Source organism: Homo sapiens, chromosome 3 (genome assembly GCF_000001405.40).
Source record: "Homo sapiens chromosome 3, GRCh38.p14 Primary Assembly".
NCBI classification, from domain to species: domain Eukaryota; kingdom Metazoa; phylum Chordata; class Mammalia; order Primates; family Hominidae; genus Homo; species Homo sapiens.
Genome location: NC_000003.12, coordinates 136,865,469 through 136,884,631, shown reverse-complemented (window position 1 = coordinate 136,884,631; position 19,163 = coordinate 136,865,469). Strand labels below are relative to the sequence as shown.

Sequence of the window (19,163 nt, the reverse complement as noted above, 5' to 3'; positions counted from 1 at the left end):
CCATCTCTACTAAAAATACAGAAATTAGCCGGGCATAGTGCCACACGCCTCTAATCCCAGCTACTCTGGAGGCTGAGGCACAAGAATCGCCTGAACCCAGGAAGCGGAGGTTGCGGTGAGCAAGCCTGCACCACTGCACTCCAGCTTGGGCCACAGAGCAGGACCGTGTTTCAAAAAAAAAGAAAAGACAAGAACTCAAAGCTGTACTCTATCATTCTCATTAAGCTATACTTTCTTATAGAATAAATAAAACCCAAGGTACCCTCTGATCTCAAACTACTTAATAAAAGGTAACATTTCAGAACTTTCAAATGCATATGACAAGGGATAGCTCTACTGGATGCAGCCAACTTAATCATCCCTCTTTCTTGAAACTGCTGGTTTCCTTACCCCTATATTAAATTGGTTTCCCTCCCTCCACGCCACCTGCTTCTGGTTTCCATTTCTGGCTCCTCATTTTCCTTCCACTGAGCCATCTGCTCTTCTCACATATACCCTCTCTCTAGATAGCTCGTTCATTATTATGACTTCATCGTATCACCTCTGGCCTAGACTCTGTAATTTGAATTGTGTTCTCTAATCCAAGCTACTGTTCCTCAACATTTCTACTTAAATATCTTGCTATCACCTCAAATTGAATATGCATCAATCTCCAAAAATTGAATATGCATCATCTCCAAAAATCCAGCTCTTCTATCCTCTTTACCAATCTATTAATTATAATTGTAAATCATTATCTTCCAATTCACCCAGGCTCCCCTTAAGTCACACATCAATTTGTGTTGGTTTTTCTCTTGAAATGTCTCTCATCCATCCTTTTCTGTTCCATTTACACTGACATCACTAAAACTCAAGCCTTCAGCAACTCACCTAAATTATCATAAGAGCCCTTGGTTAAAATTCAACTATCTCCATTTCAGTCGGTTCTATATAATAGATTCCCTCCAACAACATATCTACTGAATGACTAATGTATCCTAAGCACTGGCCAATTAATGCAGGGATACAACAGTGAGCACGACAGACACCTCTTTCTAGCAGAGGAAATTAAATTTTTTCAAATAAAATAATTATAGGTTGCAAAAAATGCTGTGACAAAGATTAACACAGTGCTACCATAAAGGACAGAGAATATGAGTGCTACTCTAATTACAGCTTTTAGTTAGAGAAAAAAAAATTTAAGTGGGCATTTTAAGGATGAAGAGGAGGCAGTCATGTAAATATTTAAAGTAGAGTGCTCCAAGCAAAAGAAACTGCAAAGTACATAGGTTCCAGGAGGGGAAAAAAAAGTCTCACGTTACAGAAAATGACCGTATGGCTAGAGATGTGGCCAGAGAACAAGGGCAAAAGTGGTACAATGTGAGGTTGGGAGAGACACAGGCCAATTTTATTCTACATGTAATAAGAAGTAGGCTGGGCATGGGGGCTCATGCCTGTAATCCCAGCACTTTGGGAGGCCAAGGTGGACAGATCACATGACGCCAGTAGTACGAGACCAGCCTTAGCCAACATGGTAAACCCTGTGTCTACTAAAAAACACAAAAAATTAGCTGGGTGTGGTGGCGCATGCCTGTAATCCCAGCTACTTGGGAGGCTGAGGCACAAGAATTGCTTGAACCCAGGAGGCGGAGGTTGCAGTGAGCTGAGATCACACCACTGCACTCCAGCCTGGGCAACAGAATGAGACTGTCTTTAAAAAAGTCATGTAATAAGGGTTTTAAGCAAGGAAATTATAATCCAACACACGCTGTGAAAGAGACTGCTAGTATTCACTAATGACTGTGTTCTCTTCATTAAGACACTGCTATACTACACTTCCCAGCCACCCCTGCAATTAGATAAGATCACATGACTCAGTTCTGACCAATGGAACTGAATGGGTAAAAGTGATATATGCCACTTCTAGCCTGGACCCTAAAATCTTTCTCCACACACACTTCCCCTTCCAAAACAATCTGAGAAGCCAAAGCTGATTATGGTGGTGACATAAGATACAGGTGCCTGTGCTCCAAGTGACTGCATAAAGCAAAGGTGCCCCTCAACACACACACACACACACACACACACACACACACACACACACAGTGATGTGGGAAAGTAATGTAAACTTTCATTGTATTATGCTGCCAAGTAAGAGGTATTGTTGTATCATTAATGCAGAAATCTTAAAAACATTTCTCTGGCTGTTGTGTGCTGCTGTGTGAAGAATGAGTTAAATGGACAGACAAAAGTAAAAATAAAAAGACCTGTTCAGACTCAACAAAAACATAACCCAAATGAAAAATGGGCAAACGAACAAAATAGACATTTCTCGAAATATATACAAATAGCCAACAAGCATATGAAAAGATGCTCATCATCACTAGCCATTATGGAAATGCAAATCAAAACCACAGAGATATCACCATTAAGATAGCTACTATTTTTAAAAAAACATGCAGGAAACAAGTGTTAGTGAAAATGTAATGATATTGGAACTCTTATGCACGGTTGGTGGTAATGTAAAATGGTGCAGCTGCTATGGAAAATGGTATGGTGGTTCCTCAAAAGATAAAAAATAGTTTACCATATAATCCAGCAATTCAACTTCTGGGTGTACATCAAAAAACTGAAAGCAGGAACCTGAACAGATATTTCTACACCCATGTTCATGGAAACACTATTCTTAACAGCTAAAATGTGGAAGCAACCCAAGCTGTTCATCAACAAATGAATGGATAAACAAAATGTGGTATATATAAGCAATGGAATATTATTCAGCCTTAACAAGGAAGAAAATTTTGACATGTGCTACAAAACGGATGAACCTTCAAGACATTAAGTGAAATAAGCCAGCCACGGAAAGACAATATGATTCCATTTATATGAGGTACATAGAGCAAACAAATTTATACAAACATAAAGGAGAAACATGAAGAATAGTGGTTGCCAGGGGCTAGGAGGAGGGAAGACTTGGGGAGTTGTTAGTATGTATACAGTTTCAGTTTTACAAGATGAAAAAGTTCTGGGGACTGGTTGTACAACAATGTGAATATACTTAATACTGAACTGTATACTTAAAATGGTTAAGATGTTCAACTTTATGCTTATGCAGTTTACCACAATAAAAAATAGAAGCTGGGCGTGGTGGCTCATGCCTCCAATCCCAGCACTTGGGAGGCCGAGGCGGGCAGATCATGAGGTCAGGAGTTCAAGACCAGCCTGGCCAATATGGTGAAATCCCGTCTCCACTAAAAATACAAAAATTAGCCGGGCGTAGTGGCGTGCACCTGTAGTCCCAGCTACTAAGGAGGCTGAGGAAGAAGAACTGCTTGAACCCAGGAGGCAGAGGTTGCAGTGAGCCAAGATTGCACCACTGCACTCCAGCCTGGGTGACAGAGTGAGACTCCATCTCAAAAAAAATTAAATAAAATAAGAGGCCAATAGTGTAAGTGAAGAGATGATGGCTGCTTGACTTGAGTAGTATGGTGATGCAGATAAAGAACAGAAGACTTCAAGATGTATTTGGAGGTAGAAAAGACAGGATTTGCTGATGGACTGGAAGTATGTGAGTTAGAATGAGGAAAAGAAAGGTATCAAGTATGACACCTTGGCTTCTAGCTACTGAGTGGATGGCAATATCATTTAATGAAATGAGAAAGACAGGAATGAACAAATGTAGGGTAGAGCGCAGAAAGCAGACCTGGAGTGTACTTTAAGAATGAAGGGATCAAGAGTTTGTTGGCTGGGTGTGGTAGCCTAACACCCGTAATCCCCACACTTTGGGAGGCTGAGGTGGAAGGACTGCTTGAGACCAGGAGTTCAAGACCAGCCAGGGCAAAGAAGTGAGAACCCCATCTCCACAAAGGGTCAAAAAATTAGCTAGTATGGTGGCACACACACCTAGGTGGTCCTAGCTACATGGGAGGTTGAAACATGAGGATCCCTTGAACCTAGGAGATTGAGGCTGCACTCTAGCATGGGTCACAGAGCAAGAACCTGCCTCAAAAAAACAAACAAACAAAGTTTGTTGATTGTCTTAAGTTCAAGATCCATGAGATATCAAGTGGCAACATCAAGGAAACACATTCTCACTGTTCTGGAGGCCAGAAGTCTGAAATCAAGGTATTTCAGCAGGAACGTGTTCCTTCTGAAGATGCTAGGAAGAATCTGCTCTAGGCTCCCTCCTAGTTGGCTTGTAGATAGTCATCTTCTCCCTGGTGTTCTGTCTCTGTGTCAAAATCTCTCCCTTTTTTAAAAGGCCCGAAGTCATGGTGGATTAGGGTCCACCCTAATAACCTCATTTTAACTTGTTTACCTCTGTAAAGACCCCACTTCGAAATAAGGTCACATTCTTTTTTTTTTTTTGAGACGGAGTCTCGCTCTGTCACCCCGGCTGGAGTGCAGTGGCATGATCTCGGCTCACTGCAAGCTCCACCTCCCGGGTTCACGCCATTCTCCTGCCTCAGCCTCCTAACTAGCTGGGACTACAGGCGCCCACCACCACACCCGGCTAATTTTTTTGTATTTTTAGTAGAGTCGGGGTTTCACCGTGTTAGCCAGGATGGTCTCATTCTCCTGACCTCGTGATCCACCCATCTCAGCCTCCCAAAGTGCTGGGATTACAGGCGTGAGCCACTGTGCCCAGCCTTTTTTTTTTTTTAATATTCTTTAAGTTCTAGGGTACATGTGCACAACGTGCAGGTTTGTTAGAGGTATACACGTGCCACGTTGGTTTGCTGCACCCATCAACTTGTCATTTACATTAAGTATTTCTCCTAATGCTATCCCTCCCCCAGCCCCTCACCCGCCAACAGGCCCCAATGTGTGATGTTCCCCTCCCTGTGTCCATGTGTTCTCATTGTTCAACTCATGCAGTGTTTGGTTTTCCGTCCTTGTGATATTTTGCTGAGAATGGTGGCTTCCAGCTTCATCCATGTCCCTGCAAAGGACATGAACTCATTCTTTTTTATGGCTGCATAGTATTCCATGGTGTACATGTGCCACATTTTCTTTATCCAGACTATTGTTGATGGACATTTGGGTTGGTTCCAAGTCTTTGCTATTGTGAATAGTGCACATAAGGTCACATTCTTAAGTACTAGGGATTAAGAATTCAAAATATCTTTTTGAGGAAGATATAACTCAACCCATAATATCTGGCTAAACAACTCTTTATTTTAGATTCTGTTACAGTAATTGGTGTGGTCTCCATTTTCCTGACTAGGCTTTAATTGAAAGCGTATATCTATTTTCTTTCATTTTTCCAGGATACCCATAGAGCCTCTCATTCTGCAAAATCACGTTCCTTGATTCTGGGAATTTTTCTTGAATATTTTACTGATAATTCCTTCTTTTCTCTGATGTCTACTAGTACTTCTGTTATTTGGAAGTTGACCTCTGACGGACCTTTTAATTTTCTTTTCTCATTTATTTTCCATCTTTTCCTCTACTTTATGAAAGAACTCCTTTACTCTAACTTCAACTTTTCTATTGACTGTTCTACTGAGCCTTTTTTTTTGTTGTTCTGATTGTTCCCAGTTTGTTTTCTATTTCTTTTAAGAGGTTTCTTATATGAGAAGCTTTCTTCACATGTCTGGTGATCCTTGATTATCTTCTCATATTTAAAAGGAGGGCCATAAAAGCTATTGTAAATAACACAGATTCTCTTCTTGGGTTAGTAAGAGAACCATCCTCCAAATTCCTACTTGATTGCCAGAATTCTGGAAGCCAAAGAGAAGAGGCCTCAGTAACGGTCTCAATATTGAGCATTTTAACTTAATTCAGTGTTTTCTGTAGAACGCTTGACCTCCAATTGTGTCTAGGGCCCACCCTCAGTGTCAGAAACAATAGTCAGTCTTCTTGCTGGGGTACTCAAGAAGGCAGTAACTTAGTGATACAAACTAACAAAGGAATCTAGACTCAACCTTTCTTAAAAAAAAATAGCTTTATTGAGATACAACTCAGATTATCATAAAACTCACTCATTTAAAGTATACAATTCAATGTTTTAGTCTATTCAGAGTTGTGCAACTATTACCACAATGAATTTTAGAAAATTTTTGTCACCCCAAAAAGAAACTCCATACCCTAGAGTCACTTCCCATTTCCCTCTAACCTCCCCTACTCCCAGTCCTATGCAACCACTCTATCTCTACAAATACACAATTTCTGGATACTTCATACAAATGGAATCATACAATGTGGTCTTTAGTATACTTAGCACATTTGTTTGTTTGTTTTTGAGACAGAATCCCACTCTGTCGCCCTGGCTAGAGTGCTGTGTTGCTATCTTGGCTCACTGTAACCTCCACCTCCCCAGTTCAAACGACTCTCCTGCTTCAGCCTCCCATGTAACTGGGATTATAGGTGCCTGCCACCACATCCGGCTAATTTGTGTGTTTATAGTTGAGATGGGGTTTCACCATGTTGGCCAGGCTGGTCTCAAACTCCTGACCTCAAGTGATCTGCCCGTCTTGGCCTCCCAAAGTGCTGGGATTACAGGTGTGAGCCACCATGTCCGGCCTACTTAGCATGTTTTAAAGGTTTATCTGTGTTATAGCATGTATCATACAATACTGTGGTCGTTTGTGACTGGCTTCTTTCACAGCATAATGCTTTCAAGGTTCATCATGTTATAACATGTATCAGTTCTATATTCCTTTTTACTGCCAAATAGTATTTAATTGTGTGGATATACATTACATGTAACCATTTATCAGCTGATGGACATCTGAGTTGCTTCTACTTTGGGGCTATTATGACTGAGCTGCTTCTTAAACAGATTTTCAAGAAATCCTCCTGTTTTTAGCACCACCCTCACCTCCTCCCTGCCAAAAATACCTGATGCTGCCAATTCCTGAGCCTAAGAAGTATTTTCTACTTTTGCTCCCGCCACTTAGGATTGAACATTTTTAAGTCCACTAAGAAGTTTCCCATCAGTTCACTCGCTTTCCAGTTTCCAGATTTTATTGTTGCCGTCTTTTCTTTATTCTCTTTACCTGTGTAGTTCAAATCTTCTAAAAGTATCCTTTACTGTCACCTTGCTGGGCTATCAAAGGGAGTAAAAGTAAATGTGTCTTTCACTCAGCCATCTTTATTTAGAAGTCCTTTCAATTATTTTTAGCCTTCATTCTTTCTCATGTATAGATTTGAAGGCTATAACTCTTCCTCTAAGCATGGCTCTATACACATCCTTTAAGTTATACTATATTTTCATGGTTCTGTTCTAAATAGTTTAATGTTATTTCTTCTCTAATCCCCGAATTTCTCAGAAATATATTGCTTATCTTCAAACAGCTGACAATTTTCTAGTTTTTTTGGTAATCCATTTCTTGCTTAATTCCAACACGTCAGAAAACACTCAAGAATTGATTATTTTGATCTTTTTTATTGTCCAGCATGTGTCAATTTGGGAAAAACTTTCATAGGCACTTAAAAACAATCTGCATTCTGTAGGTATTAGGTGAAATATTCAATGCATGTCAATTAGATTCATTTGATAATTATAGTGTTTAAATCTTTTATGTATTTTTGTCTCATTATTCTAATTACTCAGAGAGGCAAGCTGAAATATCTCATATTATGCTTATGGATTTGTCTAATTCTCCTTTTAGTTTTGTCCATTTTTTGCCTACCATGCTGGCAAAGATTAGAAAGAATGATAACACAGAGTTAAAAAACACTGTGGTAAAGGTGTAAATTGGAATGTCTTTTCTAAATAGCAGTTTGGCAACAGTCAGCAACATTTTAAATAAACATCTGTATCTTTGAAACCAGTTATTTTACATTTAGAAATTGATCTTAGGCAGGAAGGGAGATCCAGACAGGCTCTTCATGGATACCAAACACTGCTTAGCAGTTACACTGATTCGTAAATTCTCACTGTAGCCTTACAGCTATCCTTTGACTAAGTATTACTCTCATACTAGAGATGAGAAAAAAATGAAGTTTTTAGCCACCTAAAAAAAATACGTATATTCTTTGTAGGAATAAAAGTAGAAACAGCTCTATTAAAGAAAATCAGGAACTTTATAACAGAGACAAAATAGGCAAAGTTTTTTGGTTTAAAAAAAAAACAAAAAACCTTTAGATTTATATATACACTGACACGGAAGGATGTTCATAAAAGCCAAGCTAGAAAACAAAGTATGGTAGTTTGTATTTCTGTGGGATCGGTGGTGATATCCCCTTTATCATTTTTTATTGTGTCTATTTGATTCTTCTCTTTTTCTTTATTAGTCTTGCTAGCGGTCTATCAATTTTGTTGATCCTTTCAAAAAACCAGCTCCTGGATTCATTGATTTTTTGAAGGGTTTTTTGTGTCTCTATTTCTTTCAGTTCTGCTCTGATTTTAGTTATTTCTTGCCTTCTGCTAGCTTTTGAATGTGTTTGCTCTTGCTTTTCTAGTTCTTTTAATTGTGATGTTAGGGTGTCAATTTTGGATCTTTCCTGCTTTCTCTTTTGGGCATTTAGTGCTATAAATTTCCCTCTACACACTGCTTTGAATGCGTCCCAGAGATTCTGGTATGTTGTGTCTTTGTTCTCGTTGGTTTCAAAGAACATCTTTACTTCTGCCTTCATTTCGTTATGTACCCAGTAGTCATTCAGGAGCAGGTTGTTCAGTTTCCATGTAGTTGAGCGGTTTTGAGTGAGATTCTTAATCCTGAGTTCTAGTTTGATTGCACTGTGGCCTGAGAGATAGTTTGTTATAATTTCTGTTCTTTTATATTTGCTGAGGAGAGCTTTACTTCCAACTATGTGGTCAATTTTGGAATAGGTGTGGTGTGGTGCTGAAAAAAATGTATATTCTGTTGATTTGGGGTGGAGAGTTCTGTAGATGTCTATTAGGTCCACTTGGTGCAGAGCTGAGTTCAATTCCTGGGTATCCTTGTTGACTTTCTGTCTCGTTGATCTGTCTAATGTTGACAGTGGGGTGTTAAAGTCTCCCATTATTAATGTGTGGGAGTCTAAGTCTCTTTGTAGGTCACTCAGGACTTGCTTTATGAATCTGGGTGCTCCTGTATTGGGTGCATATATATTTAGGATAGTTAGCTCTTCGTGTTGAATTGATCCCTTTACCATTACATAATGGCCTTCTTTGTCTCTTTTGATCTTTGTTGGTTTAAAGTCTGTTTTATCAGAGACTAGGATTGCAATCCCTGCCTTTTTTTGTTTTCCATTTCCCTTTGAAAACTGGCACAAGACAGGGATGCCCTCTCTCACCACTCCTATTCAACATAGTGTTGGAAGTTCTGGCCAGGGCAATTAGGCAGGAGAAGGAAATAAAGGGTATTCAATTAGGAAAAGAGGAAGTCAAATTGTCCCTGTTTGCAGACGACATGATTGTATATCTAGAAAACCCCATTGTCTCAGCCCAAAATCTCCTTAAGCTGATAAGCAACTTCAGCAAAGTCTCAGGATACAAAATCAATGGGCAAAAATCACAAGCATTCTTATACACCAATAACAGACAAACAGAGAGCAGACTGTGGTATTGTTATGACAGTCCTCAAAGACTAATACATCTGTCAATAAAATAATTAAAGAAAATGTCCCAGAACTAATGAATTTTACAGATTCAGAAGGTACACAAATATCCAAGAAAAATTGTTAAAAATAGACGTAACACCAAGCTACAACCTTATGAAATTTCAGAATATAGGAAACACAAAATTCCAGAAAAGCAAAACATTTTTACAATCAAGAATCAGAATGTCTTCAGACTTCTCAAAAGGATGACAAGCTAGAAAACAATGCAGCAAGGCCTTCAGAATTCTGAAGGCAAATTATTTCCAACCTAGAATCCTTAGCCAACCAAATCAAGCATGAACATGAAAAAAAGTTTTCATTAATGCAAGATTTCAGTCTTCCACAGGAATCTATTGTATGATATACTCCATCAAATGGAGAGGTTAAACAAAAAACAAAACAAACAAAAACACTATATGATTCATGGAAAGGGAAAAAAAAGATTTAACACAGGAGAAAGACAAAGGGAGTCGCTAGTTTTATCAGAAAGGAAGAAATGCCAGGAAACTACTATGTATCAGCCATAGAGGGCCAGATCAAGCAGATTCAAAAACTGCTAGATAAAGACAGCACAATTCTACTCCAATGTGTATATACAGCCAGGAGAAATGAGTGTATAAGTTCATTAAAGACCTGTAAACGGGCCGGGCGTGGTGGCTCACGCCTGTAATCCCAGCACTTTGGGTGGCCAAGGTGGGCGGGTCACCTGAGGTCAGGACTTCGAGACCAGCCTGCCCAGCCAACATAGTGAAACCCCATCTCTACTAAAAATATAAAAATTAGCCAGGTGTAGTGGCAAGTGCCTGTAATCTCACCTACTTGGGAGGCTGAGGCAGGACAATCACTTGAACCTGGGAGGCAGAAGTTGCAGTGAGCTGAGATCGCACCACTGCACTCCAGCCTGGGTGACAGAGCAAGACTCTATCTCAAAAAAAGTATAAAAAATGTAAAAAACTGTAAATGAATGTTGACAATAGCTTTATTCACAATAGCCAAAAAACTGAAAATCAAATGTCCAATTTTTTAAAATTACATTATATTCATCCAATGGAATACTACTATCACTGAAAAGGAACTACTGCTGCACTCTACATCATAAATGAATCTCACAAACACAATGTTAAGCAAAAGTAGCCATCCACAAAAAGGTATACAAGCTATATGGTTACTGTATTAGTCCACTTTCATGCTGCTGATGAAGACTGAACAATTTACAAAAGAAAGAGGTTTAATGGACTTACAGTTCCATGTGGCTGGAGAGGCCTCACAATCATGGCGCATAGTGAAAGGCATGTCTCACGTGGCGGCAGACAAGAGAGCTTGTGCAGGGAAACTCCCGTTTTTAAAAATCATCAGTTCTCAAAAGACTTATTCACTATCACAAGAAAAGCACAGGAAAGGCCCACTCCCACGATTCAATTACCTCCCACCAGGTTCCTCCCACCACACACAGGAATTGTGGGAGCTACAATTCAAGATGAAATATGGGTGGGGACACAGCCAAACCATATTATTCCGCCCCCGGCCCCTCCCAAATATCATGTCTTCACATTTCAAAACCAATCATGCCTTCCCAACAGTCCCCCGAAGTCTTAACTCATTTCAGCATTAACTTAGAAGTTCACAGTCCAAAGTCTCATCCAAAACAAGGCAAGCCCCTTCTGCCTATGAGCCTGTAAAATCAAAAGCAAGGTAGTTACTTCCTAGATAAGATGGGGGTACAGGAATTGGGTAAATACAGCCATTCCAAATGGGAGAAATTGCCCAGAACAAAGGTGTTAAAGGCCTCTAGCAAATCCAAAATACAGCAGGGCAGTCAAATCTTAAAGCTCCAAAATGATCTCCTTTGACTCCATGTCTCACATCCAGGTCATGCTGATCCAAGAAGTGGATTTCCATGGTCTTGGGCACCTCTGACTCTGTGGTTTTGCAGAGTACAGCCTCTCTCCTGGCTGCTTTCACAGGCTTGCATTGAGTGTCTGCAGCTTTTCCAGGCGCATGGTGCAAGCTGTCAGTGGATCTATCATTCTGGAGGCTGGAGGATGGTGGCCCTCTTCTCACAGCTCCACTAGGCGGTACCCGAGTAGGAACTCTGTGTGGGGGCTCTGACCCCACATTTCCCTTCTGCACTGCCCTAGCAGAGGTTCTCCACGAATGCTCTACCCCTGCTGCAAACTTCTGCCTGGGCATCCAAGCATTTCCATACATCTTCTGAAATGCAGGTGGAGGTTCCCAAACCCCAATTCTTGACTTCTGTGCACTTGCAGCATCAACACCACATTGCAGCATCAACACCAAGGCTTGGGGCTTGCACCCTCTGAAGCCACAGCCCAAGCTCTACGCTGGCCCCTTTCAGCCACGGCTGGAGCAGCTGGAATGCTGGGTACCAAGTCCCTAGGCTGCACATAGCACAGGGACATTGGGTCTGGCTCACAAAACCACTTTTTCCTCCAAGGCTTCCACGCCTGTGATGGGAGGGGCTGCCATGAAGACCTCCGACACGCCCTGCAGACATTTTCCCCATTGTCTTGGGGATTCATATTCAGCTCCTCATTACCTATGCAAATTTCTGTAGCCAGCTTGAATTTCTCCTCAGAAAAGGGGATTTTCTTTTCTATCACGCTGTCAAGCTGCAAATTTTCCAAACTTATGCTCTGCCTCCCTTGTAAAACTGAATGCCTTTAACAGCACCCAAGTCACTTCTTGAATGCTTTGCTGCTTAGAAATTTTTTCTACCAGACACCCTAAATCATCTCTCCCAAGTTCAAAGTTCCACAGATCTCTAGGGCAGGGGCAAAATGTTGCCAGTTTCTTTGCTAAAACATAACAAGAGTCACCTTTGCTCCAGTTCCCAACAAGTTCCCCATCTCCATCTGAAACCACCTCAGCCTGGACTTTATGGTCCATATCGCAATCAGCATTTTGGGCAAAGTCATTCAACAAGTCTAGAAAGTTCCAAACTTTCCCACATTTTCCTGTCCTCTTCTGATCCCTTCAAACTGTTCCAACCTCTGCCTGTTACCCAGTTCCAAAGTTGCTTCCACATTTTCGGGTATCTTTTCAGGAGCACTCTACTCTACTGGTACCAATTTACTGTATTAATCTGTTTTCATGCTGCTGATAAAGACATACCTGAGACTGGGCAATTTACAAAATAAAGAGGTTTAATGGGCTTACAGTTCCACATGGCAGGAGAGGCCTCACAATCATGGCACAAGGTTAAAGGCATGTCTTCTCACATGGCGGCAGATAAGAGAAGAGAGTTTGTGCAGGGAAACTCCCGTTTTTAAAACCATCAGATCCCACAAGACCTATTCACTATCACAAGAACAGCACGAGAAAGGCCCACCCCCATGGTTCAATTACCTCCCACCAGGTTCTGCCAACCACACGTGGGAATTGTGGGAGTAACAATTCAAGATGAGATTTGAGTGGGGACACAGCCAAACCATATCAGTTACATTTATATAAAGTTCAAAAACAGGCAAAAATAGTTTATGGCGATAGAGGACAGAATAGTGATTACCTTTGAGAGGGAAAGAGACACTGATTGGAGGGGGCGCAAGAGAGCCTTTTCGAACACTAAAAATGTTCCACATCTGGATTTGAGTGATGACTACACAGATATCTACAAATATAAACATTCTATACATTTAAATTTGTGCAGTTTTCAATAAACATTTAAAGATACTTTCTCTAAACAAATTTTTAATTTTGTTTTTTTTAGACAGCGTCTCGCTCTGTCCCCCAAGCTAGAGTACAGTGGCGCGATCATAGCTCACTGCAGCCTCGACCTCTTGGACTCAAGCAATCCTCCCGCCAGCCTTGCAAGTAGCTAGGACTACAGACGCTCACAGCCAAACCTGGCTAATTTTTTTTTTTTACTTTTGTAAAGGCCGGCTCTTGCTATATTGCCCAGGCTGATCTCTAACTCCTACCCTCAAGGCATCCTCCCACCTCAGCCTCCCAAAGTGCAGGATTACAAGCATAAGCCACCATGCCCAGACTAAACAATTTTTTAAAAAAAAATTAGTAAGCTTTTTAGTTGGATCCACAACAGGAATTAATCAAAAGGAAAAAAAATGTAAAGCCTTATACACAAAGATCTTTATTGCAGAATTTACAATAGCAAAACACATACACACACCTGGAAATAACATTTAATAAATGAATGCCATGCCAACCCTGGATTTCTCTGGTGTGAGAGAAATTAATATTTGGCATCTGTCTGATACTAGTAGCCAAACTTAATGCTGATTAACCTAAAGGAGCCATCTGCCCTGAGGAAGAGCATGATCACAGACACCAAAGCAAAAAAGGGCTAAGCTATTCAAGGCTGAAAGAGGAAAGAGACAAAAGCAAGAGATGAAGTGAGACGTAGACAAAAGCCAAATCATGCAAGACCTCACAGGCCTTTTTTTTTTTTTTTTTTTTAAAGACTATAGCTAAGAAATGAAAAGAAAAAATAAAGTAACTGATTTCCTTGGGCAGCAGAATTACTGGGAGACAGGGGTTGTACACTAAATATTCTAAATGTTTCTAAAAATGAAAATATATTATTCAAGAGCATGTAGTACTTGCAAATGATCAAGCATTTCCAAAAAAAACTGCCCAGCCCTATTAAATTTATAAAATATTTCTGCGATACAGCTGGAATAATTACAAGGTACACAACATATTACAGTATTTGTTGTATCTATTATTTGAATTGATCTACACACTAACATATGAAAATACGTGCTAAAATTTTTGGAAGAAAAGGATGAATTTTTTTTTTTTTGAGATTAAGTCTCTCCTTGTCACCCAGGCTGGAGTGCAGTGGCATGATCTCGGCTCACTGCAACCTCTGGCTCCTGGGTTCAAATGATTCTCCTGCAGCAGCCTCCCAAGTAGCTGGGATTACAGGCATGCACCACCACGCCCAGCTAAATTTTGTATTATTAGTAGAGACAGGGTTTCACCATGTTGGCCAGGCTGGTCTCGAACTCCTGACCTCAAGCGATCCACCTGCCTCGGCCTCCCAATGGGATTACAGGCATGAGCCACTGCGCTGGGCCAGGATGATTCTTTTAAAAAAAAAAAAAAAAAAAAAACTTTTGAGAAACATCCATTCTTTTAAATATTTCCACATATTTTCACTGCTTGTTTTATTCAACTGGCTGTTTGAACAAAAGCAAAAATTATCCATACCATATTCATGTCCAATTCAGCAATCATTACTTACAATTTCAGGAATAGAAACAAGAGAATCAGTGTTTTAACAGGTTTTTTTAACTGATAATTTAAACAAATAGAAAAAGCAACTATTAACAACCAAAAAATAAATGAAAAACAGACCAAGAGAATAAGCATTCCTTTCCCTCCACAGAGAGATTTTACCTGATAGTCTTCTATGCTGTCTTACAGCATTCAACTATTGTTACGTACACATAAGAAAAATACGAAAGCAACCATACATGGTTTCTGTTACAGAAACTTTAGAGTTAAGAGGAAAAATAAACATGAAGAACAAACATATAAAAGCACTCTAACTCACCAAATGGAACAAATGATTTTTCTTTCTTTCTTTTTTTTCTTTTGAGACAATCTCGCTCTGTCACCCAGGCTAAAGTGCAGTGGCGGGATCTCACAACCCCGCAACCCCTGCCTCCCGGGTTTAAGTGATTCTCCTGTCTCAACCTCTTGAGTAGCTGAGATTACAGGCATTCGCCATCACACTCAGCTAATTTTTGTATTTAGTAGAGACAGGGTTTCACCATGTTGGCCAAGCTGGTCTCGAACTCCTGGGATCAAGTTATCCGCCCACCTCAGCCTCCCAAAGCGCTGGGATTACAGGAGTGAGCCATCAGGCCTAGCGGAACAAATAAAATTTTTTTTTTTTTGAGACAGAGTCTTGCTCTGTTACCCAGGCCGGAGTGGAATGGCATGATCTTGGCTCACTGTAACCTCTGCCTCTGGGGTTCAAGCCATTCTCCTGCCTCTGCCTCCCGGGTAGCTGGGACTACAGGCATGCACCACCACAGTGGGCTCATTTTTTTATATCTTTAGTAGAGATGGGGTTTCACCATGCCGGCCAGGCTGGTCTCAAACTCCTGGACTCAGGGGCTCCGCATGCCTCAGCCTCCCAAAGTGCTGGGATTACAGACGTGAGCCACCGCGCCCGGCCTCAACAAGATATTTTGTCTTGTCTTGCTCAACAAGAAGTGATGGTTCCTGACAGATGAACAAGAGGACAAAAAGTAGCAAAATGTGAAGGTGTTACAGTTCTAACACTCAAAAGAGAAAAAGAACATTACAGCTAGATCACTGCATTTAGTTATATGATAAGCCCTCCAGGTTTCCTCTAAATCATTACATTGTTCTGTATCCACATTCAAGGCCTCCAAAGATTAATTGGCATTATCAAGAGATTCGAAAAGACAAACTAAATTGCAGCAGTAAAACCTGTAAGAGATTCATTTTTTAGCAGATGATAGAATTCAATGGTAAACACTGGCCAGGTGCGGTGGCTCATCCCTGTAATCCCAGCACTTTGGGAGGCCAAAGCAGGCTGATTAACTGAAGTTAGGAGTTGGAGATCAGCCTGGCCAACATGGTGAAACCCTGTCTCTGCTAAAAATACAAAAATTAGCCAGGCATGGTGGCAGGCACCTGTAATTCCAGCTACTTAGGAGGCTGAGGCAGGAGAATCCCTTGAACCTGGGATGCAGAGGGTACAGTGATCCGAGATTGCCCCACTGCACTCCATCCTGAGTGACAGAGCAGGACTCCGTCTCAAGAAAAAAAAAACTCAATGGTAAACATGACAATATTATTTTTGTTAATGGTGTTAATACACCTAACAAGTATAGGGGAAAGAAACTGTATATAGACTTTATATCATTGTTTAAATAATTTACAATGTAAGGCTGGGCATGGTGGCTCATGCCTGTAATTCCAGAACTTTGGGAAGCCAAGGTGAGCGGATCACCTGAGGTCAGGAGTTTGAGACCAGCCTGGCCAACATGGTGAAACCCATCTCTACTAAAAATACAAAATTAGCCAGGTGTGGTGGCAGGTGCCTGTGATCCCAGCTCCTCAGGAGGCTGAGGCAAGAGAATTGCTTGAACCCGAGAGGCGGAGGTTGCAGTGAGCCGAGATCATGCTGCTGCACTCCAGCCAGGGCAAAAACTGCGAAACTCTGTCTCAAAAAAAAAAAAATTTACAATGTAAATATGAAGGTTCCCCTGCCCTGAAGTTTTCAATCTATGAGAAGGCATAAATACACAAAATGCAAAATAATGTGAGGCAAATAAGGCAAAATTACAAGAGATGAGAAGTAGTATGGTTTCATAAACACACAGAACTTGCGTCAGAAGATCAAGGGTTGAGTCTTTGTTCTGCCCCCATCACTAAATGTTTGAATTTTGGTGCATCTAGTCTATTTGTATTTCAGTTTCCTTATCTGTAAAACACAAGGTTGGATTCCAACATTCCAGCAATAATGCTCTATAATTCTATGATTCAAGTCCACACAACATTAAAAACCAAGGGAATACTAAAATAATAAGGGGTATGGGTTTAAAGGAAAGCAACAGACCAGGCACAGTGGCTCACCCCTATAATCCCAGCACGTTGAGAAGCCAAGGTGGGAGGATCGTTTGAGGCCAGGAATTCAAAACCAGTCTGAACAACACAGTGAGACCCTATCTCTACAAAAAAAAAAAAAAAAAAAAATTAGCCAGACATTGATGCACACCTGTAATCCTGGCCTTTGGGAGGTTCAAGTTACAATGAGGAGCTGTGATCAGGCCACTGTACTCCAGCCTGAGCAACAGAGCGAGATCCTGTCAAAAAAGAAAGAAGAAAGAAAGAAAGAGAGAGAGAGACAGACGGACGGACAGACGGATGGATGGACGGAAGGAAGGAAGGAAGGAAGGGAAAAGAAAGAAAAGAAAGAAAGAAGGAAGGAAGGAAGGAAGGAAGGAAGGAAGGAAGGAAGGAAGGAAGGAAAGAAAGAAACAAAGAAAGAAAGAAAGAAAGAAAGAAAGAAAGAAAGAAAGAAAGAAAGAAAGAAAGAAAGAAAGAAAGAAAAGCAAGCAACATAGGGAACAGGAAAAACATTTGGAAGACTGCACCAAAGGACCAAAAGCGAAAATTCAACAAATTTTACTTCATTTGCTACTTGGTAATTTAGGAGAAAAAAAAAATTTTAAAGACTAGGCAAACTGGACGGGCACAGTGGCTCACGCCTGTAATCCCAACACTTTGGGAAGCCGACGCATGTGGATCACCTGAGGTCGGGAGTTCAAGACCAGCCTGGCCAACATGGTGAAACCCCATCTCTACTAAAAATACAAAATTAGCCAGGCGTGGTGGCATGCACCTGTAATCCTAGCTACTCGGAAGACTGACACAGGAGAATCACTTGAACCAAGGAGACGGAGGTTGCAGTGAGCCAAGATGGTGCCACTGCACTCCAGCCTGGGTGACAGAGTGAGACGCCTCAAAGAAAAAAAAAAAGAAGAAAGAAAGAGGCCAGGCACAGTGGCTCACACCTGTAATCCCAGCACTTTGGCAGGCTGAGATGTGTAGATCACCTGAAGTGAGGAGTTTAAGACTGGCCTGACCAACACGGAGAAACCCCGTCTCTACTAAAAATACAAAATTAGCCAGGCATGGTGGCGCATGCCTGTAGTCCCAGCTACTAGGGAGGCTGAGGTAGGAGAATCGCTTGAACCCGGGAGGCAGAGGTTACGGGGAGCCGAGATCGCACCATTGCACTCCAGCCTGGGCAACAGAGCGAGACTCTGTCTCAAAAAAAAAAAAAGAAAGAAAGAAAGAAAAAGGAATGATACGAAGGTACAAAAATACAAAGAGTAAATAAGAATCAGAGATTGGTTTGGTTAGAGTGGACAGCTCCTATAAAGAAATAGTGCTGGCACTGATTAAAAAAAAAGAAAGAAATAGTGCTGGCCCCAGAAAAACAGGTTTGAGCAGACTGTTATTAGGCTATGAATTCTGAACTATACTCTGAAGATAACAGAGAGTTATCACTGGTTTCCGAAAAGTGAAGGATGTGTTTGAAGCATAATTCTAAGATTTAGGAAGACATACTAAGTAGAGAGAAAAATCAAGCAAAAAACCCAATTAAAGGCTAGTGAGTAGTTCAAAGATAAAAATGGCTGGCAAAAATCAGCCAATATTGTTACACGCATAGAGATAAAACCAAAGTTTGTGTCTGGGTAATTGAAAGCATGGTAATGTCACCAAAACAAAGTCAGCATATGGAATCAGTTTTGAAGGGAAGACTATAAATTCTATCTTCATTAGAGTTTAAGGTGAGGATCAGCCAGACATAAAGTTTCCTTAAATCTTTAAATGTCATATTTAGCCTTGTTGTCTTCCTAACATCACAGTATTTATAGAGAATTTGTTAACTGCTCAGTGATTTCAAAAGTTCCCTTCAATTTTACTTATTAATGAAATAATCATTTAATTTTCTAGTGCAGATAAAGAACATTTGGTATTTTTCTATATTATAAAGGTAAATTCTAAAAATTATTAAACCATGATTTTAAAAATGAACTGTATCTGTATTCATTAAGTCAAGTCTTCCTGACAAGTGATTTATAATAATCACATCAAATATACCTTCAGCTTTGAAAAACACA

General features: G+C 40.6%; 1 protein-coding gene across 5 annotated transcripts in view, besides 1 other annotated feature; it reads right to left on the bottom strand.

Annotated features, from left to right (window-relative positions):
* NCK1 (NCK adaptor protein 1) overlaps positions 1–19,163 on the bottom strand; it is an 89,399-nt gene that overhangs the window by 66,975 nt on the left and 3,261 nt on the right. The gene's annotated exons all lie outside the window — the stretch shown is intronic.
* Positions 15,060–15,559: an enhancer, noted in NCBI's record as "H3K27ac hESC enhancer chr3:136587915-136588414 (GRCh37/hg19 assembly coordinates)". NCBI's record gives its function as "activates a minimal SCP1, AML or CMV promoter by ChIP-STARR-seq in naive H9 embryonic stem cells {active_cell/tissue: H9 hESC(naive)}" and the evidence as "EXISTENCE:reporter gene assay evidence [ECO:0000049][PMID:30033119]".